This window comes from Homo sapiens, chromosome 10, assembly GCF_000001405.40.
Source record: "Homo sapiens chromosome 10, GRCh38.p14 Primary Assembly".
Classification (NCBI taxonomy): domain Eukaryota; kingdom Metazoa; phylum Chordata; class Mammalia; order Primates; family Hominidae; genus Homo; species Homo sapiens.
In genome coordinates this window covers 13,382,946-13,409,604 of record NC_000010.11, presented here as the reverse complement: position 1 = coordinate 13,409,604, position 26,659 = coordinate 13,382,946, and the positions used below count along the sequence as shown (strand labels likewise).

The 26,659-nt window shown below is 45.6% G+C and overlaps 1 long non-coding RNA gene across 2 annotated transcripts, besides 2 other annotated features; it reads right to left on the bottom strand.

The window, feature by feature from the left end:
• Positions 1-55: 55 nt before the first annotated feature.
• Positions 56-26,594, bottom strand: LOC105376419 (uncharacterized). 2 transcript variants are annotated; one of them, XR_930671.3, is made up of 3 exons: positions 26,248-26,594; positions 9,428-9,536; positions 56-396 (listed from the first exon to the last, which is right to left on the bottom strand). It is a non-coding gene; the product is annotated as an uncharacterized LOC105376419 (long non-coding RNA). The 2 variants fall into 2 exon arrangements; XR_007062057.1 differs by lacking the exon at positions 56-396 and having other exon boundaries at positions 9,328-9,536.
• Positions 8,642-8,936: an enhancer, noted in NCBI's record as "tiled region #1825; HepG2 Activating non-DNase unmatched - State 22:ReprW". NCBI's record gives its function as "activates a minimal TATA promoter and a strong SV40 promoter by Sharpr-MPRA in HepG2 cells {active_cell/tissue: HepG2}" and the evidence as "EXISTENCE:reporter gene assay evidence [ECO:0000049][PMID:27701403]".
• Positions 13,536-14,499: an enhancer, noted in NCBI's record as "OCT4-NANOG-H3K27ac hESC enhancer chr10:13437106-13438069 (GRCh37/hg19 assembly coordinates)". NCBI's record gives its function as "activates a minimal SCP1, AML or CMV promoter by ChIP-STARR-seq in naive and primed H9 embryonic stem cells {active_cell/tissue: H9 hESC(naive and primed)}" and the evidence as "EXISTENCE:reporter gene assay evidence [ECO:0000049][PMID:30033119]".
• Positions 26,595-26,659: the final 65 nt, after the last annotated feature.

Genomic DNA, 26,659 nt, shown 5'->3' with positions numbered 1-26,659 from the left:
AGACCCCAAGAGGGGTTCTTGGATCTCACCTAAGAAAGAACTCAGGGTGAGTCCATAGAGTAAAGTGAAAGTTTATTAAGAAAGTAAAGAATCAGGCACAGTGGCTCACGCCTGTAATCCCAGCACTTTGGGAGGCCGAGGCAGGCGGATCATGAGGTCAGAAATTCGAGACGAGCCTGACCACAAGGTCTGGACTTCGAGAGCTGCCTGGTCAATATGGTAAAACGCCATCTCTACTAAAAATGCAAATATTAGCCAGGCGTGGTGGCGCTTGCCTTTAGTCCCAGCTACTCGGGAGGCTGAGGCAAAAGAATTGCTTGAACCTGGAGGCGGCGGTTGCAGTGAGCAGAGATCGTGCCACTGCACTCCAGCTCGGGCGACAGAGTGAGACTCCATCTAAAAAAAATAAATAAATAAATAAATAAAGTAAAGGAATGAAGAATGGCTACTCCATAGACAGAGCAGCCCCCGGGGGCTGCTGGTTGCCCATTTTTATGGTTCTTTCTGGATGATATGCTAAACAACGGGTGGATTATTCACGCCTCCCCTTTTTAGACCATATAGGGTAACTTCCTGACGTTGCCATGGCATCTGTAAACTGTCACAGCGCTGGTGGGAGTGTAGCAGTGTGGACCACCAGAGAACACTCTTGTCGCCATCTTGGTTTTGGTGGGTTTTGGCCGGCTTCTCTACTGCAACCTGTTTTATTAGCAAGGTCTTTACGACCTGTATCTTGTGCTGACCTCCTATCTCATCCTGTGACTTAGAATGCCTTAACCATCTGGGAATGCAACCCAATAGGTCTCAGCCTCATTTTACCCAGCCCCTATCCATTCCTGAGAGCTTCCTTTGCCAAAAATGTGCCTTTAACAATAAGAGCTAACATTTACTTAACACGTTCTTAATCTGAGGCTGGGTCGCATGATCTCATTTCATTCTTACAACAACCCTGTAAGAGAAATATTATCTCTCCCTTGCAAAACAGAGAGCATGTTCAGGAAGGTTAAGTGACTTCCCCAACATCACAGGCTAGTTTGTGGGGCTAAGATTCTTCCTTATCCACATGCTGTCAGGATCCAGACGAGACGTTTATCCTCCTATACCCGGGCTTGAATTCCAAGGAACCACTGGGCAGCCTTCACATGTACAAATGTAGGCACAGTGAGCTGATTTGTAATAATAACAGCCAATATCTGAGTACCTACCAAGTGCCAGGCAATATACATAGAGTCTTTCATTTAACAACTCAAATGTGTATATATATATATATATATATATACTTTCTCTTTTTTTCAGATGGCGGAGTCTTGCTCTGTCACCCAAGCTGGAGTGCAGTGGCGTGATCTCAGCTCACTGCAACCTCTGCCTCCTGGGTTCAAGAGATTCTCCTGTCTCAACCTCCTGAGTAACTGGGATTACAGGCACGCACCAATACACCCGGCTAATTTTTGTTTTTGTTTGAGACAGAGTTTCGCTCTTGTTGCCCAGGCTGGAGTGCAATGGTGTGATCTTGGCTCACCACAACTTTTGCCTCCCGGGTTCAAGCGATTCTCCTGCCTCAGCGTCCCGATTAGCTGGAATCACAGGCGTGTACCACCATGCCCGGAAATTTGTTTTGTATTTTTAGTAGAGACAGTTTCTCCATGTTGGTCAGGCTAGTCTCGAACTCCCGACCTCAGGTGATCCACCTGCCTCAGCCTCCCAAAGTGCTGGGATTACAAGCATAAGCCAGCCACTGTGCCTGGCAACAAGATATATATTTATCCCCATTTTACAGATGAGGCTCCTGGAGCTCAGAGTTTGAGCAACATCCCTGACTATGAGGAGTCATTGACAACTTGGGCTCTGGAGCCCAACTGCTTAGTTCAAATCCACCTCCCCTACTTACTAGCTGTATGACCTCGGACAAGTTAGTTGACTTCTCTGTGCCTTCATTTCCCCATCTGTACAACAAATGACAGTACCTATCTCATAGGATTACTATGAGAATTCAATGAGTGCTCAGAACTGTCCCTGTTACCTAGTCAGAGCTCCATAAATAGGCAGGTTGTTGTTATCCTCCTCCAAAGTCCATGCTTTTGCTCCATGAGATGGCTTTGTCGCCCAATCTCTACTGAGAGATTAAGAATATGCTGCACATTAAAATATACAGGTTTCTTTTTACTGCAGTAATGCTAAATGCTTAGATGAAGGAAGAGATCAAAGGTAGTCCAAATTCACCTACATTACAATTCTCCCTGACGTTCTCAGGGCAGTGACGCTAAGCCAAGAGAATGAGCTCCATTTAGACCTCTCTTCCTTCCACCGGCATCTTCCTCCTTTCCCTTCTCACTAGGCTCTCGAGGGTAAGTTCATCTTTTTGGAATTGCAAGGGCAGTTGCTGCAAATGTCTGCACTCACTATGTCTTATTAGGTTAGTCCCTTGTCTGGTACTAGGAGAAAGGTCTGAAGATCTGGAGTTGATTTCTGGCCCAGCTATTTACTGTGTGACCAGCTATAAGTCCCCTAATCCCTGAGCTTCTATTTTGCCATCTGTGTAAAACAACCACCTCCCCAGACTTACATGAGAATCAAATTAATGATGTGTGTTAATACGCAAGATGGGGGCCAGCAAGGTGGCTCACATCTGTAATCCCAGCACTTTGGGAGGCTGAGGCAGGAGGTTCACTTGAGCCTAGGAGTTTGGGACCAGCCTGGGAAACATAGCAAGACCCCGCATCCCCATCTCTACAAAAATAAAAAAATTAGCCAGATGTGGTGGTACACATCTGTAGCCCCAGCTACTTGAGAGGCTGAGGTTGGAGGATCTCTTGAGTCCAGGAGTTCCAGGCTGCAGTGGGCTAATTGCATCACTGCACTCTAGCCTGGGTGACAGAGTCTCACTCTGTCTCAGGAAAAAAAAAAAAAAAATTAACATGTAAGATGGTTTGTAAACCGTAAATTACAGTGCCTGGGAGAAATCAGGTCCCTTTGATTCACCTGGCAGGAAATCTTGCGTCTTCGCTTTCCCAGCCATCACTCTGAGTTGCAGTTGGCTTGCTGAGAACATTCTGTAAGAAGCTGCCTAGATTTCACCTTCCTTGGGGCAGGCTGGGGATGGGAGAGTGTCAGGGAGACTCCTGTGGTAAGCACCTCTCTGCTGAAAGAACTTTTAGCAGTAACAGAGTGTGAAGGAGGAGGCCTAGGTGAGGATGGAGAGGGTGGGGCAGGGAAGAACCCTACCAGTGAAATTGGTTTAGAACAGCCCAGTGCCCATGGGGGTAGATTGGGGAATACATGAGATGCCTTGCTAAGTCTGGAACAAGCTTCTCAGGAAGGGGAAACTGACCCTGCTCTAGGGAGATTGGAAAGCTCTTAGGGATAGGGTTAAGTGAAAGCATTTCTTTTTTGACACTGAATCTTCCAACTTAGGTGAAGGATAAATGTCAAAAAAGAGATAAATGTCATGCATCACTCTGGAAATGCCCAATCCACCTACTCCAGAGTACTGATCAGGGACTTAAGAATGGAAAAATTTGGCATTTGATGACTTGTCACAAGAACTATGGACCCTGCCCGAGTTACTGTCAATGGTGAAATCAGTGACGACACATCTGGGCTCCCTGTTAACACCAAGTGTGTATGTAACAATGGACATGTGGACAGAAATAATTGGGTATGTGAGGGCACCTCACCCAGTAAAGGCTTGGCGGACAGTGATGAGAAGGCAGAGCTAAGCAGGCGGAGAGAAATGGCAGCCCAGGACAGCAAGAAGATGGAGGAGCCTGAGGAACAAGCTGTCCCTGAGAGAGAACCCACAGTGTGCCCCTCACCATGCCTTCCACAAAGCCACGATTATGCTCCTTCCAAATTTAATTGCCTCCTTTCAAAAACTCACCATACCCAAAGAGTCCATAAAACCTCTTGCCAGCCAGGCGCGGTGGCTCACGCCTGTAATCCCAGCACTTTGGGAGGCCGAGGCGGGCGGATCACGAGGTCGGGAGATCGAGACCATCCTGGTTAACACGGTGAAACCCCGTCTCTACTAAAAATACAAAAAATTAGCCAGGCGCGGTGGCGGGCACCTTTAATCCCAGCTACTCGGGAGGCTGAGGCAGGAGAATGGCGTGAACCCGGGAGGCAGAGCTTGCAGTGAGCCGAGATCATGCCACTGCACTCTGGCTTGGGCAAAAAGTAAGACTCTGTCTCAAAAAAAAAAAAACCTCTTGCCAATCCTGCTGTCAGATGTGACTATTGCCACACAAAGAACAGAAAAGCTACAGAACTGTTCTTGTTCCTTTTTTTTTTAGAGACAGGATCTCACTCTGTCACCCAGGCTGGAATGCAGTGGTGTGATTGTAGTGAAGCGGTGTCGTTGTCTGGGGTAAATACCCAAGTTTGGTTGTTTCACACTAAGGGAATTGAGAACGTGGACACACAAGAAGTGGGTTTAGGAGCAGAGGTTTAATAGGCAAAAGAAAGAGAGAGGATAATAGCTCTCTCTCCTGTGAAGGCCAAAGATTGGTTGGATCAGGTGTGGCGTTTACATAGTGCACAAAGAAGCTGGCTACCCCACCCTAATCTTTTTAATATGCAAATGGATTTTCTACTTGGCCGGTGCCATGTTGTCTGCTCCTTACTGTACACGTGGTTGGCAAGGAAAGGGAAGGTGGAGCCTCCATGTTGAACATGCCTAGCCCCAGGTAGCCTTTCCCTATTGGCACAGCTGCTGGCATTCACCCGTGCAAGCTTCCAGCTTGCTTATCTATGTCTGCAGCTCGATATTACAGGCTGATCTTTGCTAGAAAAGAAATAATTTGGGGGCTGCTTTTCAGTAAAAGGAAATCTTTTAAAACCTTACCAAGGATTTCCTTACCCTCACTAGCTACCTACATAATTTCTTTTTAACTCCTATATCAATAGCTTAATGCAGCCTTGAGCTCCTGTGCTCAAGCAACCCACCTACTCAGCTTCCCAAGTAGCTGGGACTACAGGCATGCACCGCCATGCCCGGCTAAATTTTTTTTTTTCTTTAGAAATGGGGCCTAGCTATGTTGCCCAGGCTGGTCTTCCTGCAGCTTTGACCTCCTGGCCTCAAGCAGTCCTCCCAAAGTTGGGGGATTATTGGCATGAGTCACCACACTCTACTCACAGCTGTTCATAAAACTTAAGATGATAAGCAGTTTTAATGCCCAGAATTTAACTACATGGAGTATGTTCCCAGCTTCCTGTAGTTTCTAATCTCTGGGTAACACACGTCTCCCATTTTTGCTCTCCCAGTCCTTCCACCAGCTTTATAACTTAATTTCCTGCATTCAAGCTGTCTCTGTTTGAAATATCTAAGGTGATTTCTGCTTTTTTCTACCAAACACTTACTGATAAACCCTTTTTCCATTTCTTTTCCTTTGTAGATTTGTGTAAATACCCAGGGTTTTATTATTCAGGTGCCTGTCCTTTCTCCTTTTTGCTGAGTTCTTCAATGTGACCTTGCTAATTTTTTTTTTTTTTTTTGAGACGGAATCTCACTCTGTCACCTAGGCTGGCATGCAGTGGCATGATGTCGGTTCACTGCAACCTCTGCCTCTCGGGTTCAAGGGATTCTCGTGTCTCAGCCTCCCAAGTAACTGGGACTACATGCACTAGCCACCATGCCCACCCATATTTTTGAATTTTTAGTAGAGACGGGGTTTTGCCATGTTGACCAGGCTGGTCTCAAACTCCTGACCTCAGGTGATCCTCCTGTCTTGGCCTCCCAAAGTGCTGGCATTACAGGCATGAGCCACTGCACCCGGCACTTTCTGGTTTTAATTTGTTGGTTATCATCATTTCTTCCCACCACCCACTCAACATTGACAGGTGAGAGTCGACGCTTGCCTTTCATTGCGCTCCTCTGCTCTTAGATCCCTGTTACATTAAACTGCAAAGCAGCTAAAGCACTGGACAACCCAAGCCCTTCTCTGGGACACTGCCACCTGGGAGCATCACTGAACATTTTCTTCCACTGAGTCATTAGAAACAGGATCTGCAGGCCAAGTGCGGTGGCTTATGCCTGTAATCCCAGCACTTTGGGAGGCTGAAGCCAGCATATCCCTTGAGGTCAGGAGTTCAAGACCAGCCTGACCAACATGGCAAAACCCCATCTCTACAAAAATACAAAAAAATTAGCCGAGCGTGGTGGCACACGCCTGTAATCCCAGCTCCTCAGGAGGCTGAGACAGGAAAATCACTTGAACCCAGGAGGCGGAGGTTGCAGTGAGCCAAGATCGTGCCATTGCACTCCAGCCTGGGCAACAGAGTGAGACTTCATTTAAAAAAAAAAAAAAAACAAAAAAAAAACAAGATCTGTCACAGGGGGGCTCTGCCCCTGTTGAAGGGAACTATGCATAACTAATGAACAGGAAAGTTAGTAGCAAAATGGCCTGATCCTTCTCAACATGCTTCGAATAACTTCCAAATTCCCCAGTCTAGATTTCCTTATATATCTTCTTTCCTTCCTAAATGATTACTCTAAACCGTCAAACCCAGACATTTTTGAGTGTATATTTGCTCTTCCTTTCCTCCCCATCATATGGAACTTCTCTCTGCTGAGGATTAACCCAGCTTCTCGGTCACACTGACACACTTGATTTTTTTTTTTTTTTTTTAGATAGGGTCTCACTCTGTCACCCAGGCTGGAGTGCAGTGGCGTGATCTCGGCTCACTGCAACCTCCGCCTCCCGGGTTCAAGCGATTCTCCTGCCTCAGCCTCCTGAGTAGCTGGGATTACAGGTGTATACCACCACACATGGCTAATTTTTGTATTTTTCGTAGAGACAGGGTTTCACCACGTTGCCCATGCTGGTTTCAAACTCTTGGACTCAAGTGATCCACCCGCCTCGGCCTCTCAAAGTGCTAGGATTACAGGCGTGAGCCACTGCGCCCGACCCACTGTACACATTTGAAATAAGAGCTGGCTTGGTCTTTAGTTGTGGATGCTGAGACGTCAGAGGTACCCAACAATCCGGCAGATTTAAAACTAGACTTTATCTTGTAGCATTGCAAATACCACATGGGATAGACACCAGATCTCTGCTTCAAAGCTGAGGTAAATAGTAAACTTCAGAAGAGTTTACTACTTGTCCAAAGTCACAAAGAGGGTAGGAGGCAGAGCCAGGTCCTGAACCCAGGTCTTTCCATTGCCACAGCTCCTGCCAAGCACTGCAGTCAACCGAGGAAAACATAAACGAAAGCAGTGGATCTTAAATTCCAGCAAAACGCTATCGCTCCCCTGTCAACCTGCCGGACTTCTTGAACAAACATTTCATTTGGGCATTTTTCAGCAACTAGAATGTTTATCAGGAGAACTTCCAGTTCAGAAGGGCCTTCCAGAGTTAATGTCTCCTGAACCATTCATGCATGTGGAATACAATTACACCAACAAGGAGGGTGGTGTGGCAGGCAACACAGGGCATAGACGCCAGGAGACGGAGAGTAGGGAGGTCATTAGTTTCATCTTTATACACCTATGTTACATCTGCTACAACAAGCTGGATTCTTTTATAACTTGGAAAGCATCTAATAACAAAATTAGGAGCTTGTGGCAAAGATAATATTGTACGTTCACCAAATCCCATTTTATTGTTTTCTTCCTGTGTACACAGGACTATAATTCCCAGCCTTTTTTTTTCTCGTTTTTTTTTTTTTTTTTGAGACAGAGTCTTGCTCTGTCACCCAGGCAGGAGTGCAGTGGCACAATCTCAGCTCACTGCAAGCTCCGCCTCCTGGGTTCACGCCATTCTCCTGCTTCAGCCTCCTCAGTAGCTGGGACTACAGGCATCCGCCACCATGCCTGGCTAATTTTTTTTTTGTATTTTTAGTAGAGATGGTGTTTCACCGTGTTAGCCAGGATGGTCTCGATCCCCTGACCTCATGATCCGCCCGCCTCAGCCTCCCAAAGTGCTGGGATTACATGCGTGAGCCACCACGCCCAGCTGGCTTCCCAGCCTTTTTCGCCCTGAGATTGGGCCACTATAACTGGATTCTGACTAAAGGACAGGGGCAGAAGGGATGTATGCCACTTCCAAGCCTGCCCGTAAAATCTCCCATGTCATCATCCACCCTCTCTCTTCCTGTTCTGTGGCAAATTGTTTTTTGAGAGAGGGTCTCATTCTGTCACCCAGGCTGGAGTGCAGTGTTGTGATCACGGCTCAATGTAGCCTTGATTTCCTGGGCTCCAGCGATCCTCCCACGTCAGACTTCTAAGTAGCTGGGACCACAAGTGTGCACCACCATGCCTGGCTAATTTTATTTGTAGAGATGGGGTCTCACTAGGTTGCCCAGGCTGGTCTCAAACTGCTGGACTCAAGCAATCCTCCCACTTTGGCTTCTCAAAGTGCTGGGAGTACAAGCATCATGAGCCACCACACTTGGTCTGTGGCAAATTCTTGAGGGCACATGATGGAGATGACACCATCACAAGATGGATGGAGCCTAGATTCCTGAACCAATTACTGGAGGAAAGCCACCAAGGAAAGCCACTTGACCTACATCAAACAATAACCTGTTGTATTGATATAAGAGTTAAGAAGAAATTATTTAGGCAGATAGTGAGGATAAGGAAGTCCTTGGTAAGGTTTCCCTTTTAATGAAAAACAGCCCCCAAACCATTTCTTTTCTAACAAAAAGCAGCCTGTAAATTCGAGCTGCAGACATAGATAAGCAAGCTGGAAGCTTGCACGGGTGAATTCCGGCAGCTGTGCCAATAGGAAAAGGCTACCTGGGGCCAGGAATGTTCAACATGGAGGCTCCCTTTTCCCTTTTCTTTATCAACCATGTGTACAGTAAGGAGCAGACAACATGGTGCCGGCCAGGGAGAAAACCCATTTGCATAATAAAAGATTAGGGTGGAGTGGCCACTTTCTTCCTGTGCTATGTAAATGTCACACCTGGTCCAACCAATCTTTGGGCCCTATGTAAATCAGACACCGCCTCTTCAAGCCAGTCTATAAAACCCTGTGCGCTTCCCCATGGGACCGGAAGACCCAGTCGGGAGCCCCTCTCTCTCTGCAGGAGAGAGAGCTTTTCTCTTTCTCTCTATTAAATCTCTCTCACTATTAAGCCTCCACTTTTAAACTCACTTCTTGTGTGCCCACATCCTCATCCCCTAGCATGAGATGGCGAACCTCCAGTATTCACCCCCGACAGCGAGGCTGCTTCAGCATGAAGCCATTGAAAATAAAGGTTTTCTTTGTTACCGCAGCACAATCTTACCTATCCTGACTAATTTGGATTTCATATATGCCAGGGGATTCCAACGTCCCACAGAAGTCCTGAGAGGGCCTCTTGGTTGACTCACTCATGGAAACAGCCTTTTGGTGTTTTTACAACCTAGATTTATTTCAGAATCTAAGTTCATATGAGGATATATTTCTACGTACAGTTCCGTTTCCTTCTTCTCCCTCTGAATTACCTTCTCATTCTCACTTTGTTGTGGTGTGCTTGTTCCAAAGTGAAATAAATCAACGACTTCATCACAAAGCACATAGCTCACGTACTTTACATTCTCACTGAAACAAGACCTGAAAAAGGAGGAAATTTTTTTATTACAATTTTATTCCCCCTCAGGGACCATTCTGAATTTTACAATCCTAATATTTACTTCTTGTTATGGTAAAACCTTGAGTAAACCATCAGGGACTGAGTTGTTCTAGACAAGTGTTTTGCATAACTAGAGTTTATGCATTTAGGCATTAATATGCTGTTGACTCTCACATGTTTGGAAAGAAATATTAAATATGAAATAGGAAGCACAGTGAATGAACTGGGGTGACATATTTTGCCCTTTCATGGCAATTCAGGATTCACCTGAGTTCCTTAAATGTGCTATGCTCCCTGCAGAGGCTCACGCCATCATCTCTGCCTGGAGCAGTTTTTTACTTCCTTTGTCTCATTAAATTACTCCTATCCTTTGGTTGTCAGCTCACAGAGCAGTTCCCTCAGGCACAACTGTATACATTTACGAAAACTCATCTAACTGTTCACCTAAAACAGGTGAATTTTGTGGCATGTAAATTATACCTCAATAACACTGTTAAAAACAAAACACACTGTCCAGGAGGTGGTGCATGAACATAACCCTCGTTCTTCTTTAAAAAAAAAAAAAAAAATTTTTTTTGAGACAGGGTCTCCCTCTGTCATCCAGGCTAGAGGGCGCAGTGGCGCAATCTCTGCTCACCGCAGCCTCAACATTCAGGGCTCAAACGATCCTCCTGCCTCCGCCTCCCAAGTAGATGGGACCACAGGCATGTGTCAACATGCTGAGGTAATTTTTTTTTTTTTTTTTAGAGATGGGGTCTCGCTATATTACCCAGGCTGGTCTTGAACTCCTGGCCTCAAGCAGTCCTGCTACCTCGGCCTTCCAAAGGGCAAGGATTACAGGCTTGAGCCACCACTATGGACATTACCTCTGTAAGCTTCCTCCCAAAACCCATAACCCCAATTTAACCATGAGAAGAACATTAGACAAATTCTAATAGACGGCATCCTACAAAATCTACTGCATGAATACTCTTCAAAACTGTCAAGGTCATCAAAAGCAAGGAAAGGCTGAGAAATTGTCACAGCTAAGGGTAGCGTAAAGAGACGTGATGACTAAATGTAATATGGTTACACGGATGGGATCCTAAGACAGAAAAATGACATCAGATAGAAACTACAGAAATCTAATACCTGGCTGGGCATGATGGCTCATGCCTACAATCCCAGCACTTTGGAAGGCTGAGGCAGGTGGATCACTTGAGGCCAGGAGTTCAAGACCAGACTGGACAACATGGTGAAACCCTGTTGCCACTAAAAAGACAAAAATTATCCAGGCGTGGTGGCAGGTGCCTGTAATCCCAGCTACTCAGGAGACTGAGGCAGAAAAATCACTTGAACCCAGAAGGTGGAGTTTGCAGTGAGCCAAGATCATGCCACTGCACTCCAGCCTGGGTGACAGGGAGATTCTTCATCTCCAGAAAAAAAAAAAAGCAAAAGAAAAATCTGAGTATCTTGTGGACTTTAGTTAATAATAAGGTATCAACACTGGTTCAATATTGTAACAAATGTACCATACTGATGTAAGATGTTAGAAACAGAGGAAACAGTGCAAGATATATGGGAACTATTCTTTATATAAACTTCATGATTTCTCTGTAAATCAAATCTATAATGATTCCTAAAACTAAAGTTCATGGGCTGGGCGCGGTGGCTCACGCCTGTAATCCCAGCACTTTGGGAGGCCAAGACGGGCGGATCACAAGGTCAGGAGATCAAGACCATCCTGGCTAACACGGTGAAACTCCGTCTGTACCAAAAATACAAAAAACTTAGCCGAAACTTAGCCGAGCGTGGTGGCGGGCGCCTGTAGTCCCAGCTACTCTGGAGGCTGAGGCAGGAGAATGGCGTGAACCCAGGAGAAGGAGCTTGCAGTAAGCCGAGATCGCGCCACTGCACTCCAGCCTGGGCTACAGAGCGAGACTCTGTCTCAAAAAAATAAATAAATAAAATAAATAAATAAAGTTCATTTGGCCGGGCGCGGTGGCTTATGCCTGCAGTTCTAGCACTTTAGGAGACTGAGGCAGGTGGATCAGTTGAGTCCAGAAGTTCAAGACTGGCCTGGCTAACATGGTGAAACCCCATCTCTACTAAAAATACAAAAAATTACCCAGGCATGATGGTACACACTTGTAGTCCCAGCTACTCGGGAGGCTGAGGCACGAGAATCGATTGAACCTGGGAAGTGGAGGTTGCAGTGAGCTGAGATTGCACTACTGCACTCCAGCCTGGGCAACAGAGACTCTGGCTCAGAAAATAAATAAATAAATTTTATTTTAATTTACATTTTTTAGGAATTCCCCAGTTCCCAAGCCAGATCTAATCACCTGCTATGTGTTCATATAGCAATCTGGACTACTGGCTGAATGAATTAATTTATCACCATATGTAATTATATGTTTGTGCATTTTGCTCACTGCTGTATCTTAGTGCAAGGTCAGGGCCTGGCTCTTGACAAGTGCTTAGTAATAGACATAGAGTAAGTGCAGCCTCACAGAATAAAAGTTCCATGACAACAGGATTTCATCTGTTCTGTTCTCTGTTGTATCCCCATCACCTAGATGATGTCTGGCACACGGTACACATTCAATCAAGATAAATTCCTCCCCAAGTGGAGTCAAGAAATCTTTTCCCTGGTGATCCAGGGCTCTTGACCACCCTGGATCCCTTTGGGGTGGCCTGTCCACTGTAGGTTGGGGCCACAGGCTTGTGGGAAGGGGGGATTGACTTCCCTGGTCCTGGCTGAGGCTCCACATCTTCCTTCTGCACTGGGCTCTGCAGAAGGTTTTCAGCTGGGGCAACTCTGCTCAGTTAGTGCCATTTACCAAAATGAGGGAAAGTGAGAGAGGGGCAAGGAGGAGGAGCAGTTCGAAGAAGATCCGTGAGACATCTAACTGACAAGATCAAGTAGGAAATTGCATACAACTCAGGGGCAGCGTAAAGCTGTAGCTATAAAGCTGGAATTCATCAGCCTTATAGATGGTGTCTGAAACCATGAGAATGATAGTGCAGCCGCTGCGGGAAACATCATGGCGGTTCCTCAAAAGATTAAACGTGGAATGACCATAGGATCCAGCAATTCCGCTTCTAGGTATATACCCAAAAGAATTGAAAACAGGGTCTCAAAGAGACATTTATGTACAAATGTTTATAGCAGCATTATTCATAATACCAAAAGGTAGAAGCAACGAAAGTGTTTATCAATGGATTTTTAAAATGTGGTCTATCCATACAATGGAATATTATTCGCCCTTAAAAAGGAAGGACATTCTAACCCATGCTACATGGATGGACCTTGAGGACATTATGCTAAAGGAAGTAAGCCAATCACAGAAGAACAAATACTGTATGATCCCATTTATATGAGATCCCTACAGTAGTCAAATTCACAGAAACAGAAAGTAGAATGATGGTTGCCAGAGGCTAATGGAGGAGGAAATGGGGAGTTGTTGTTTCACAGAGACAGAGTTTCTGTTTGGGAAGATGAAAAGGCTCTGGAGATAGATGGTCATGATGGTTGCACAACAATGTAAACATACTTAATGCCACAGACTGTACTATTAAAAACAGTTAAAATGGCCAAGCACAGTGGCTCATGCCTGTAATCCTAACACTTTGGGAGGCTGAGGCAGTGGATTGCCTGAGCTCAGGAGTTCAAGACCAGCCTGGGCAACATGGTGAAACCCCATCTCTACTAAAATACAAAAAAAATTAGCCAGGCGTGGTGGCGGGCACCTGTAGTCCCAGCTACTTGGGAGGCTGAGGTAGGAGAATTGTGATTGAACCCAGGAGGCAGAAGTTGTAGTGAGTCGAGGTTGCGTCACTAAACTCCAGCCTGGGCAACAGCTTTAGACTCTGTCTCCAAAAAAAATTAATAATAATAATAATTAATGAATATAAAAATAAAAATGGTTAAAATGGTAAATGTTATGTATATATGGTTTTTTTTTTTCTGAGACGGAGTTTTGCTCTTGTTGCCCAGGCTGGAGTGCAATGGCACAATCTCGGCTCACTGCAACCGCCGCCTCCTGGGTTCAAGCGATTCTCCTGCCTCAGCCTCCCGAGTAGCTGGGATTACAGGCATGCACCACCACACCCGGCTAATTTTGTATTTTAAGTAGAGATGAAGTATCTCCATGTTGGTCAGGCTAGTCTTGAACTCCCAACCTCAGGTGATCTGCCTACCTTGGCCTCCCGAAGTGCTAAGATTACAGTCATGAGCAACCGCAATGGCCTTGTTATGCATATTTTACCACAATAAAAGAACTCATTATTATGTACTGAATGCTTCCTGTATGCCCAGCATGTTTTAAGTGCTGCCTGTGTTTCAAACTCATTGAATCCTCCTATTTCCAAGGTAGGTACAGTATCACCCCCATTATATAGGCAAGGAAAGCAGTGATCAGAGAAGTTAAGTAAAGGGCCTAAGCTCACACGGCTTCTAACTAGCCAGGCTAGGAATTGGATTTAGACAGTTGGGTTCCAGTGCCCAAGCTTTTTATTTAACAAACTGTATGAGCTATGAGAGATTATCTCACTACTACAAGAATTTATGTTTTACATCAAAAAGTAAATTTTTAGGCAGGGTGTGGTGGCTCACGCTGTAATCCCAGCACTTTGGGAGGCCAAGGCAGAAGGACCACTTGAGACCAGGAGTTCAAGACCAGCCTGGGCAACATAACAAGACATTGTCTCAAAAAAATAATAATTAGCCAGGCATGGTGGTGGTGCACACCTATAGTCCCTGCTACTTGGGAAGCTGAGGCAGGAGGATTGCTTGGGGCAACAGTGAGCTATAACAGCATCACTGCCTTCCAGCCTGGACAGAGTGAGACCCTGTCTCAAGAAAAAAAAAAAAAAAAAAAAAAAACGAAAACGGACCAGCCACGATGGCTCACGCCTGTAATCCCAGCACTTTGGGAGGCCAAGGCACTTGATCACTTGAGGTCAAGAGTTTGAGACTAGCCTGGCCAACATGTTGAAACTCTGTCTCTATCAAACATATAAAAATTAGTCAGGAGTGGTGGTGCGTGCCTGTAATCCCAGCTACTTGGGATGCTGAGGCAGGAGAATCACTTGAACTCAGCAGATAGAGGTTGCAGTGAGCTGAGATCGTGCCACTGCACTCCAGCCTGGGTGACAGGGAGAAACCCTGTCTCAAAAAAAAGAAAAAGGAAGAATGTTTTATGAGAATTTAAATGAAAGACTGAATTTACAACGCCTCTTACCACATTCAGACAGCATCTCCCTGCACAGGGCCTGGGGCTGCAGAAGGGATGAGGAGTTCGAGTGGGAAGGACAGTTAGACCATTTTATAATCTCTGCAAAATTGCTCTATGGCCAGGGATGACCCCCTCGAAGTACCCATCGGATGCTTCCTGTTGTGTGTGTGAGGCCAGAGGGGCCCACAGCACCTGTCCCTCCTTTGCCTTCAGAAGAATTCAGCCCCGACTCAGACCCTCTCAGCCAAGAGGCCAGAGCCCCAGTTCCAAGGCAGGTGGACCCAGGAATGAGATGTGCAGCTCCTTGGCAGCCGAGGGAGAAGCTTGCTATGCTATTTGGGGCTGCTCTGTTGTGTTATCAATTAAACGTCTCAGACAAAAGCAATGCCAAGTCGTGGCTACTCCAGACCTGCAGCTCAGAAACACACAGGGTCCTTACATGGCCTTTCCTCTGGGTGTGCCTGTGTTCTAATTGCCTCTTTGTATAAGGACACCAGGCATTTTGGTTAGGGCCCACCCTAAGGGCCTCATTTTTGTTGTTGTTGTTTTAAACTTTTATTTTGGGTTCAAGTGTACATGTGCAGGTTTGCTATATAGGTAAACTCATGTCATAGGGCTTGGTTTTACAGATCACTTTGTCACCTAGGTACTAAGCCTAGTACCCAATAGTTATCTTTTCTGCTCCTCTCCCTCCTCCACCCTCTAACCTCAAGTGGGCCCCAGTATGTGTTGTTCCCCTCTGTGTCCATGTGTTCTCATCATTTGGCTCCCACTTATAAGTGAGAACATGGGCTATTTGATTTTCTGTTCCTGCATTAGTTTGCTAAGGAAAAGGGAAGGGGCTTATTTTAACTTAATCACCAGTTTAAAGACCTTATCTCCAAATGTGTTACATTCTGAGATATTGAGGGTTAAGGCTTCAACATACGAATTTTGAAAGAGACATAGTTCGTCCTGTAACAGCATATAAATAACTAAGGAGGCCCCACCCAATAAAGCACTAGCATAATTCCAGTCAAAACGATTTGTTTAACTTATTGGAAAATAGATACCAAGGGAGGCAAAGAAACTGCATTGTTCCGTCATCTTCATTTCTGCTCTCAACTGCTTTCAAAAACATTTCAAAAACAACATCTATGGTAGTTTAAATCTCAGCACTTGTTAGCTATGGTTTTTCTCCCCAGTGTTTTTTGTTTTGTTTTGTTTTTGAGATGGAGTCTCGCCTTGTCGCCCAGGTTAAGTGCAATGGTGAGATCCCGGCTCACTGCAACCTCCGCCTCCCAGGTTCAAGCGATTCTCCTGCCTCAGCCTCCCAAGTAGCTGGGATTACAGGCGTGTACCACCATGCCCAGCTAATTTTTTGTATCTTTAGTAGAGATGGGGTTTCACCATGTTGGCCAGGCTGGTCTCAAATTCCTGACCTCATGAACCGCCCGCCTCAGCTCCCAAAATGCTGGGATTACAGGTGTGAGCACCGTGCCCCTCCCGTCTCCCCAATTTTTTAAAACTTCAGTCGCATAGTCTATCCCCAAAGGAAGGTAAAGATCAAAAAACAACCCAAAGCGTTACTATCATCTGTAGCCAACATAACATAACCAGCACAAGAATCCAGCTTGTGTGATCTTTGTTGAAATAACATCACTGATAATTTCATCATTGATAATTTCACCAAGAAATAACAAATGAGAATATCTGGGGTATTCCCTTGATTTCTTTTCTGTCCATCGGTATTTTACTTTGTTGACAACCTTCTTTATACTGAAATCAGAATCTTGCTTTTTTCTCTCATGCTCATTTCCCAACAACATGAACCATGATTCACTTACATGTCGAATGTCTGCATGATAATATTGCGTGGTGTTTCATCTTATTTACCTAACCATTGTCCAATTGCTGGACATTGGGTTAACATTTACAAATAATGCTGACAGACGTTATTGTCATATATCCTTTCTGGTTATTTCTCTTTTTTTGAGACAAGGTCTTGTTCTGTCAACCAGGCTGGAGTACAGTGGCATTATCAAGGCTCACTGCAGCCTCAACTTCCCAGGCTCAATTGATCTTCCCACCTCAGCCTCCTGAGTAGCTGGGACTCCAGGCACGCATCACCACGCCCAGCTAATTTTTGTATTCTCTGTAGACACAGGGTTTCACCATGTTGCCCAGGCGATCTCAAACTGTGGGCTCAAGCGATCCACCCACCTCAGCCTCCCAAAGTGCGGGGATTACAAATGTGGCCACCACGCCCAGCCTTGCTGGCTATTTCTTTAGGCTAATCGGGTTTCTACAAGTGAAGTTACTATGTCAAATATTCACACATTTGTTTGAAAGCCTTTTGGAATACAGGAAAACATCTGTCTTTTCAGGTTCTTTGACTTTGCCAGTCAGAGAATAATCTGTCAGCCACCCCTGCCATGCTAACCCAACATTTGGTCCTCTGTTCCTACACAGGATGTCCTCACCCTCTGCCCACCTTCCCACTCAAAGCACAACCATGAGTTCCAATCATTACAGGGTGCTGTGACAGGTGCTGGGAAAAGAAAGGTCATACAACTGCCAATAGGGGATGAAAGGTAAGGAGGGTCATAGAAGAGCTTGCATATGTGATGCACTTCTCTGAAGAGCTCAAAGGTTTTCAGAGACACGGCCTTTTTCATCTTCATAGGTGTATTGTTTTTCCTTCCGAGTCAGACCCAAACATAAACCTTATGCATTGGCTTCTATTTACACGCTCACTCCTGTTTTCTTGACACTCCCTAAAGTGGCTTTTATAGATCGGACTTCGGGTTCGTATACATGACAAAAAAGCCCCAAACTGATCTGTTCATCTCTCACCCCTAAGACCCATAGGAGTGACAAGCATGGTTACTCATGCCTGTAATCCCAGCACTTCGGGAGGCCAAAACCGGAGGATCACCTGCATCACCTGAGCCCAGGAGCTTGAGACCAGCCGGGGAAACATAGTGGGACTTTGTATTAGTCCGTTCTCACGTTACTTTAAGGAACTACGTGAGACTGACCGGGCGCAGTGGCTCAAGCCTGTAATCCCAGCACTTTGGGAGGCCGAGGCGGGTGGAACACGAAGTCAGGAGATCGAGACCACCCTGGCTAATACAGTGAAACCCCGTCTCTACTAAAAATATAAAAAATTAGCCGGGCGTGGTGGTGGACGCCTGTATCCAGCTACTCGGGAGGCTGAGGCAGGAGAATGGTGTGAACCCGGGAGGTGGAGCTTGCAGTGAGCCAAGATCACGCCACTGCACTCCAGCCTAGGGGAGAGAGCGAGACTCTGCCTCAAAAAAAAAAAAAAAAAAAAAAAAAAAAAAACTACCTGAGACTGGATAACTTATAAAGGAAAGAGTTTTAATTGGCTTACAGTTCCACAGTTTAACAGGAAGCATGACCGGGAGGCGTCAGGAAACTTACAATTACAGCAGAAGGCGAAAGGGAAGCAAGCACGTCTTAACATGGCAAAGCAGGAGCCAGCGAAGGGGGAAGTGCCACGCTTTTAAACAACCAGATCTCATGAGAACTCACTTACTGTCACGAGAACAGCAAGGGGGAAGTCCGCCCCCGTGATCCAATCACCCCCTACCCAGTGCCTCCTTCGACATGTGGGAATTACAGTTCGAGATGAAATTTCGGTGGGGACACAGACCAAACCATATCAGACCCCACCTCTACAAAAAATTGAAATACAAAAATTAGGCAAGTGTGGTGTTATGTGCCTATAGCTCCTCAGGAGGCTGAGGTGGGAGGATCCCTTGAGCCCAGGAGTAGAAGGCAGCAGAGAGCTAGGATTGTGCCACTGCACTCCAGCCTGGGCGACAGAGAGAGATCCTGTCTCTAAAAAAAAAAGAAAGAAAAAGAGACATTATTCCAGCAAGCAGTTTTCAAACTGGGGAGAGGACGCCTTCTGTACGAAACAAAAGTGCACTCCACTAGAACCAAGAGGGGACTGTCTTGCTGGGGAAAGTTCCAGCCCGGGATCCCCCTCCAGTCTGCTATGCAAATGAGACATGTAAGCTCGCTCAATCCTGATTGGTTGATGTTAAAACTGACCACAGATCCGAGTTCATGGATCAGGTCCAGATGGCAGAATGGGACCTTCCAGCAGCAGTTGATTCTGCTGGCATCGACAGGGCCAGACGGCTATGAAAGCTCCAAAGTTTAACTACTCTTCAGCTTGTTTAGGGTACAAGTGTAACCTCCAGTTGGCAAATGGCTCTCAGCTCCATCAGGACTTAGATCCAGTTACCCACTCACAATCTGTCTTGAAGGGTGACACTTTCTGGGTTCACACATTTCTCCTTGATACTATACAAGAAGATCGGTCCGGATTTTCAATAATAGACTGGTCTATCTTGGCAGAGGGTGTCCATTAGAATATAAATGAGCAAAAAGGAGAAATATATGCCTGATTTTAAAGTTATAGAAGTCTGACCTACAGTCATCATTGACAGAAATGTATCTGGGGATTGCAAGTTTCAACTTTAACCCCCTCTTAATCACTTGGAACTTATGAACAAATGGACTTATAAACAGCCTGTTTGTAAGTAAAAGGAGATAGATTTCGTTAAGTGAATTAATATCTGGTTGAACAACTTTACCAAGACATACAGGTTGAGAGTCTCATAACTAATCTAAAATGAGGTCTCCATGGCTTGGTCAGTCTTCATTTCTGCCCTGTGCAGAACTCTCCAATTTGTCATGGAATAGGAAAATCAGAAAGCAATATGCTGTATCTGCACTGTTATAAATGTGTAGAAGTAAAAAATCGTGGTTCTTATACAAATATAAAATAAGCCAGGTGTGGCGGCTCGCTCCTGTAATCCCAGCACTTTGAGAGACTGAAGCAGATGGATAACTTGAAGCCAGGAGTTCAGGACCAGCTGGCCAACATGGTGAAACCCCATTTCTACTAAAAATACAAAAATTAGCAGGGCATGGTAGCACACGCCTGTAGTCCCAGCTACTCAGGAAGCTGTGACATGGGAATCGCTTGAGCCCAGGAGGTGGAGGTAGCAGTGAGCCAAGATTGTGCTACTGCACTCCAGCCTGGGCAACAGAGGGAGACTCTGTCTCAAAAACTACACACACACACACACACACACACACACACACACATACACATACACACATATATATGCATATATAATGAATATATGCGTGTATATATGTGCATATATATGCATATATAATATATAATGAATATATATGCATAAATATACGCGTGTATATATATATATATATAATGAACATGTGTCCAAGATTTTTAAATTAACTTAACTCATTAATTGATGATGCAGACAGCAAAATATTACAACTGGCTGAAAGAGAATCCAAAGAACAGACATATCTACAAGCAATCAGGAGTGCTGAAATAAATTTACTAAGAGGTGCAAGACTGACAGCCTCTTTATGGGGTAGAAATCAATTGCATTTCTACCAGACAAAACTCGTTTGTATCTCTATGGACAAGAATCATTTCCATAACCTTGTGTTTTCTATAATTTACAGTTACAAAATAGTTCAGTCAAAAACGATGAAAGACACAGACCCCTGTGAAATCAGACAACCCTGAAGCCTCTGCTAGATAATACCCAGCCATCCACTGAAAGGAAACTCAGTAATCTTTCTGCCCATTTCAAGGCCTTTTCCTGACAAAAAGAGGAGATTTAATCATCATAAAGCAATCTGAAGCTCTGTGCTGGGACCACGTACAAGGAGAGAGTGGAAAGGTTGCAGCTTAGCACTAGTGTATGTGGGAATGTCTTGGGAGTTTAAATCAGCATTATATTCCAAGATTCAATGTGATGAGGCTGCCAAAAACTTTTTGGCTTTTTTTTTTTTTCAATTCAGGCATCATCTCTAGAATGAAAGAAAGGAAGAAACTGCTGTGGTCAGCTATGATCAGACAGACTACTGGATTTTGTGTACCACATTTTACAAGGGCTAGACAGAGTCAGAAAGGTAAGGGAATGTGACACCCATGTGTAAGGAGTGCTGGAAGAAGCCAGGAATATTTAAAGAGGAAAAAGCTCACACAGAAATGGACAGTTGTCTTCAAATACTTGTAGGACAACTGAGGAATAAGGCTTAAGGAACACCTTCCTAAATAATAACCAAGCTGATGATGATGATGGTGATGATGGTGATGATGATGGTGATGATGATGATGACAGTGTCAGTCAACATTAATTGAGCTTTACTACATTATTTGAGCTTTATTAGGTGTCAAACCATGGGCTGAGCGCTTTACAAGTGCCCTCTCATTTAACCCTCATGACAGTGAGAAACTAGTTTCCCGGCCCACACTTGGTAGACAGAGATGTCAAACTTTTGGTGGAATTAGAGGCCTTTAAGTCCCCTTTGAGCTCTAAGATTACATGGTTCTGTGTCACTCTTCTTCTCAAAGACGTTTGATGAATCCCTAATGGCTACTATATTAAGTACAAATTCCCCAGCCTGCCAACAGAAGCTCTTCACAGCATTGCTCAAATCAAGCTCTCCAGATTCATCACCAAAATACTACTACCATCATTTTAAACACCACGACCACCACTACCCCCATCAAACATACCAAATGCAGCCATGCAAGATACTCACTCAACCAGCTCTCAATCAACTCAATCAACCATCCAATCTCTATAGTCCTACTCATGCCCTTCCATCTCCAACGGTGCCTCCTCCATAGTCATTCTAGTGCATTCTTTCCCTCCTCTTCCACCATCTCCCTTCCTGCAATAGCACTTTTGCCACATGCTGGTCACTATCAGAGTCACTTATTAGTACTTGTTTTATCACTTCTAGGTTGCAAGCTCCTTGAGGGGGCCGCTGCTGAATGAATTCGTTGAAGGGCCAGAGAGGGAAAGTGGGACGTAGACAGGGCAAGGGAAGCTCAGGAAACAATCTAAGGCAACAGGATTAACGTCAGGTCCTTTGCTGGGGAAGCAATTTCTGAAATGCCTTTATCCCAGGTGCATCCCTGAGAGTTATTTTTTCAGCTCTTACGGGTATGAGCAACGGTGTCAGGGAAAGAAACTTGGCTTTCTGAAGAGAGATGGTCTACCTGGAGTAGAGGGCATTCCCATTAGGTAAAAAGAGCAGAGTCAAGGCTTCATTCTTTTAGTTCCTAGCCCAAGACAGGTGGTCAAGAAAGGTTTTTGTTTTATTTTGCTTTGTTTTTTAAAGGCAGGGTCTTGCTCTGTCACCCACGTTGGAGTGCAGTGGTATAATCATAACTCACTATAACCTCAAATTCCTAGGCTCAAGCAGTCCTCCTGTCTCAGCCTCCTGAGTAGCTTGGACTACAGGTGTGCGCCACAGCACCCAGCTGATTTTTAACTTTTTTTTTTTTTTTTTTTTGTAGAGACAGGGTCTCACTATGATGCCCAGGCTGGTCTCTAACTCCTGGCCTCCAATGATCCTCCTGCCTCAACCTCCCAAAGTGCTGGGATTACAGGTGTGAGCCACCACGCCTGGCAAAGAAAGCTTTACTAAATGACTTTATTTATTGTAGTGAGGGCCGAGACTGGTTAGGTGCATTTGGGTCAAAATCATGGAAGGCCTTGAATACCAGGACAAAGGGAGCACTTATGGATTCCTGACCAAGACGGTGCCTTGATTCTCCCTAAATGTCTTACAAGTATTTTTTGTATTTATATTATTGTATGCATTTTAAAAAATATGCTCATATGATTTTCTTTTTTTTTTTTTTTTTTTTGAGATGGAGTCCTGCTCTGTTGCCCAGGCTGGAGTGCAATGGCGTGATCTCGGCTCACGGCAACCTCCACCTCCTGCTTTCAAGCGATTCTCCCCTCTCAGCCTCCCAAGTAGCTGGGATTACAGGCACACCAACACCATGCCTGGCTAATTTTTGTATTTTTGGTGAAAATAGGGTTTTGCCATATTGGCCAGCTGGTCTGAAACTCCTGACCTCAAATGATCCGCCCACCTCAGCCTCCCAAAGTGCTGGGATTACAGGCGTGAGTCACCGCGCCCGGCCCAATTTTCTCATTTCTGACCTCTTATTCACACAGATCTTGTTCTGATTGCTTCTAAACACTATCACAGGCATTTGATAGTTTTGTATTTCTTCTGCTTTTGTCATTCCCCACCTAGTCCTAGAATGTACTTTTACTCTCTGTCTTGGACATATAAATTTCCTTTTCCTCTCCCCTCCCTGAATCCGTAAGCACCTCTATCATGCCCTTTAACTTGTCTGCTTTTCTCTCAAAGATCTTCCCTTTTTCCTCCCTTTGCTGTCCAACTGTCCTGATTCTACTGACCATCACTTACTTCGGTTTTAGGTTCCCCAATTCCCATTACTTAGATCCTACTCATTTCCCACAGAAGGCTGCAGAGAACAATAACCTCAGCCAGAAAGCAATCAGGAATTATTCACTGATTGGTGGGTTGCCTGCACTTTTCACATCTCTTTTCCAGAACCACTGGGAGCACCAGCAGATCCTGCCCACCTGTGAGATGGGCAGAACCCTGGCCGTCCTGCCTGCGGAGACAGCTTTAGGATGATGCTGGAAGCTACTGCTTCACCCACTGCTGTCCAAGAAGCCTTACCCACATGATCTCAACCTTCAAACAGCCCTGTCATGTGGGTTCCTGCCCCTATTCCACTGATAAAGATGTTACAATTTAGAGAAATCTTTTTTTTTTTAGACGAAGTTTCACCCTTTTTGCCCAGGCTGGAGTGTGGAGCGCAATGGTGCGATCTCGGCTCACTGCAACCTCCACCTCCCAAGTTCAAGCGATTCTCCTGCCTCAGCCTCCACAGTAGCTGGGATTACAGGTGCCCGCCATCACACCCAGCTAATTCTTTGTATTTTTAGTAGAGACAAGATTTCACCATGTTGGCCAGGCTGGTCTCAAACTCCTGACCTCAGGTGATCCACCCGTCTCAGCATCCCAAAGTGCTGGGACTACAGGCGTGAACCACCGCTCCTGTAATTTCTGTTTATAAAGATTTTCTTTTAAGAATTGCCAAGATTAGGCCAAGCAAATCCCACCTCCCAAAGTGCTGGGATTACAGGCATGACTTGTCCAGCCAAGGTAGAAGGATCGCTTGAGTTCAGGAGTTTGAAACCAGCCTGGGCAACATGGTGAGAACCCCGTGTCTACAAAAAATGTAAAAATTAGCGGGGCACAGTGGCATGCGCCTGTAGTCCCAGCTACTTGGGAGACTGAGGTGGGGGGAATACTTGAGCCCGGGAGGTCAAGGTTGCAGTGAGTCATGATGGTGCCACTGCACTCCAGCCTGGGTGACAGAGAGAGACCCTGTCTCAAGAAAAAGAAAGAAAAGAAAAGAAAAGAAAAAAACAGGATTGTAACAAATCCATTCACTTCCTGTCCCTCTCTCTTTACAGCTTCAGCAGCACAGCCTCCATCTTTGGACCCAAGCTTGGAAAGCATAGCTCCCTCTTTTAGACGTTGTCCATTTCAAAGCATCTCCAGTCTGGATCAACAGAAGGATGATGTGTTTATGTCCTTCCCTGTCTGTTCCTTAAAGCAACCTTAAGTCTGGAACATGAATTCTCTTTTTTAAACAAATTTAAAAACTTTGTAGAGAATTCAAAAGGTACAAAGGGTAGCCACACAGGCTACCATTGTCACCGCTTCCTTGTAGCTTCTGGACTCTTGGTGGCATTTGCCAATTCAAACAAAGAAAAAGTCTATGTGAATAGTTTTGTTTTCCCCTGTGACTTTAAGCTACTTAAAAGAAAATTTGGCCAGACACCGTGGCTCACTCCTGTAATCCCAGCACTTTGGGAAGCTGTGGCAGGCAGATCACGAGGTCAGGAGTTTGAGACCAGCCTGACCAACATAGAGAAACCTCGTCTCTACTAAAAATACAAAACAATTAGCCGGGCGTGGTGGCACATGCCTGTGATCCCAGCTACTCAGGAGGCTGAGACAGGAGAATCGCTTGAACCTGGGAGGTGGAGGTTGCAGTGAGCCGAGCTCGCGCCATTGCACTCCAGCCTTGGAACAAGAGTGAAACTCTGTCTAAAAAAAAAAAAAAAAAAAAAGCATGGTCTTTGTCTTAACCCTCCTGGCATCCTCATATAGTTCACGAAAAAAGAGAGAGACAGGAAGAGGAAGAATCGCTTCTGTTAATCCTCTTCACCTAGCTTCACTTGGCAACATCATCAGTTCTCCTCATTTGCATGATCTGTTCTTTCTCTCACTATTATTGAGTGTTCCAGTCTCTGCTTATTGGCAAAATAAGACCTAGGTTTCTCATTAGTTTGTGTTTACTGAAGAGTCAAAGGCTAAAGATTTTACCTTGCCCGGCAATATTTTCTGTCTCCAAAGCAGTATCTGACTGACTCTCTGGTGCCGACAATTGAGAATACTGGCAAGAAATGAGCTGGTGAGGGTGTGCCATCTGCTTCTAAAACTTCATTCAGAAAGTTACATGCAGTTTACAAATATAATGTCTCAAAATACACTCAGAGGCAGCTGTGTTGGTGCTCTAGGGTGTCAGAGCCGTAAAGAGGTAAAAGGCTCAGAAGTCAGCCGAATCCCAGCTGGGTCTTCCCCCAGCCACCAGACTTGGAAAGGCTGCGAGCTGCTCTGAGCTGCTTCTGTGTTGAGCTCTACCTCTCAGGGTTTCTGAGGCTACTGAGCTAACAAACGCAAATGTCTACCATACTCCGCTGGGCGCGGTGGCGCACGCCTGTAATCCCAGCACTTTGGGAGGCCAAGGCGGGCGGATTGCCTGAGCTCAGGAGTTTGAGACCAGCCTGGCCAACTTGGTGAAACCCCGTCTCTACTAAAAATATGAAAGATTAGCCGGGGGTGGTGGCGGGCGCCTGTAATCCCAGCTACTCGGGAGGCTGAGGCAGGAGAATCGCTTGAACCCGGGAGGCGGAGGTTGCAGTGAGCCGAGATCGCGCCATTGCACTCCAGCCTGGGAGACAGAGACCCCGTCTCAAAAAACAAAAAAAAAAAAAAAAAAAAAAAAGAAGGAAGAAGAAGAAGAAAATTAAAATCAGCTGGGCATTTTTTTTCCCCATGGTATAAAAATGAAGGCCGCCCAGAAGCACAGTCCTGCACTTTTCCCTCCAGCCTGGCCTTGCTTAGAGCTGCTCTGCTCGACAGGGTGCTCCGAGTGAAGAGGGCGCACCCCGCTACCTGCGCGCCTTGGCTCCCTGCCTCTCCAGCCGCACCTCCGGGTGGAATTTACCTGGAATGATCGCTTTCCTCCCCGCCCCCACCCCGGCCACTCTCAGGTCCTCCTGTCATTTCACCTTTTCTCTGCTTCACAGAACCCTTGAATGGTAATCTGCTTTTATTTTCCTGAACTTCTGAACTCTTCCTGTGTCTTTAACCTCCGGTCGTTGGCGATCAGCCTCGGATTCCTTTATCTGCCGTTGGCTTGGCTGAGGCTTTTGCCGTGGGAGAATCGGAGAATTTTTCACAGTGGTTCTGTCTCACGCGTGATCACACTTACCTGCCACGCCGCCTGTGCTTTCTCCCTTTTCTCTCCCTCCTTTACAGCTGAGCAAACATTTCCTCTCCTATCGGTGCTTGCACGCCAGGGTTTTTTCCTTTGCGATCTGGTCTGCCCTGCCTGGCGCTCCCCACCCACTTCTTCCAGGCTATTCCCGGTCTTTAGTCCTACAGGTGCCAGATTCTAGGCTATTGCTGGGCAAAATGAAATGGTCTTTAGTCCCACAAGTGACAGAGATGATACCATCTCCCCAGCTCCTCCAAGGAATTCTGAACCACCTTGTCGGTTTCAGGAGTCTCAAGTTCAAGTGCTGGGAAACCTGTGTTTGTAGGCTGAGTAACCGCCCAGCTCAGCTCAGTAACCCGGGAACGTGGCTCTGCTCCCCAAGGTGGAAGGCTCACTCCACCACCTC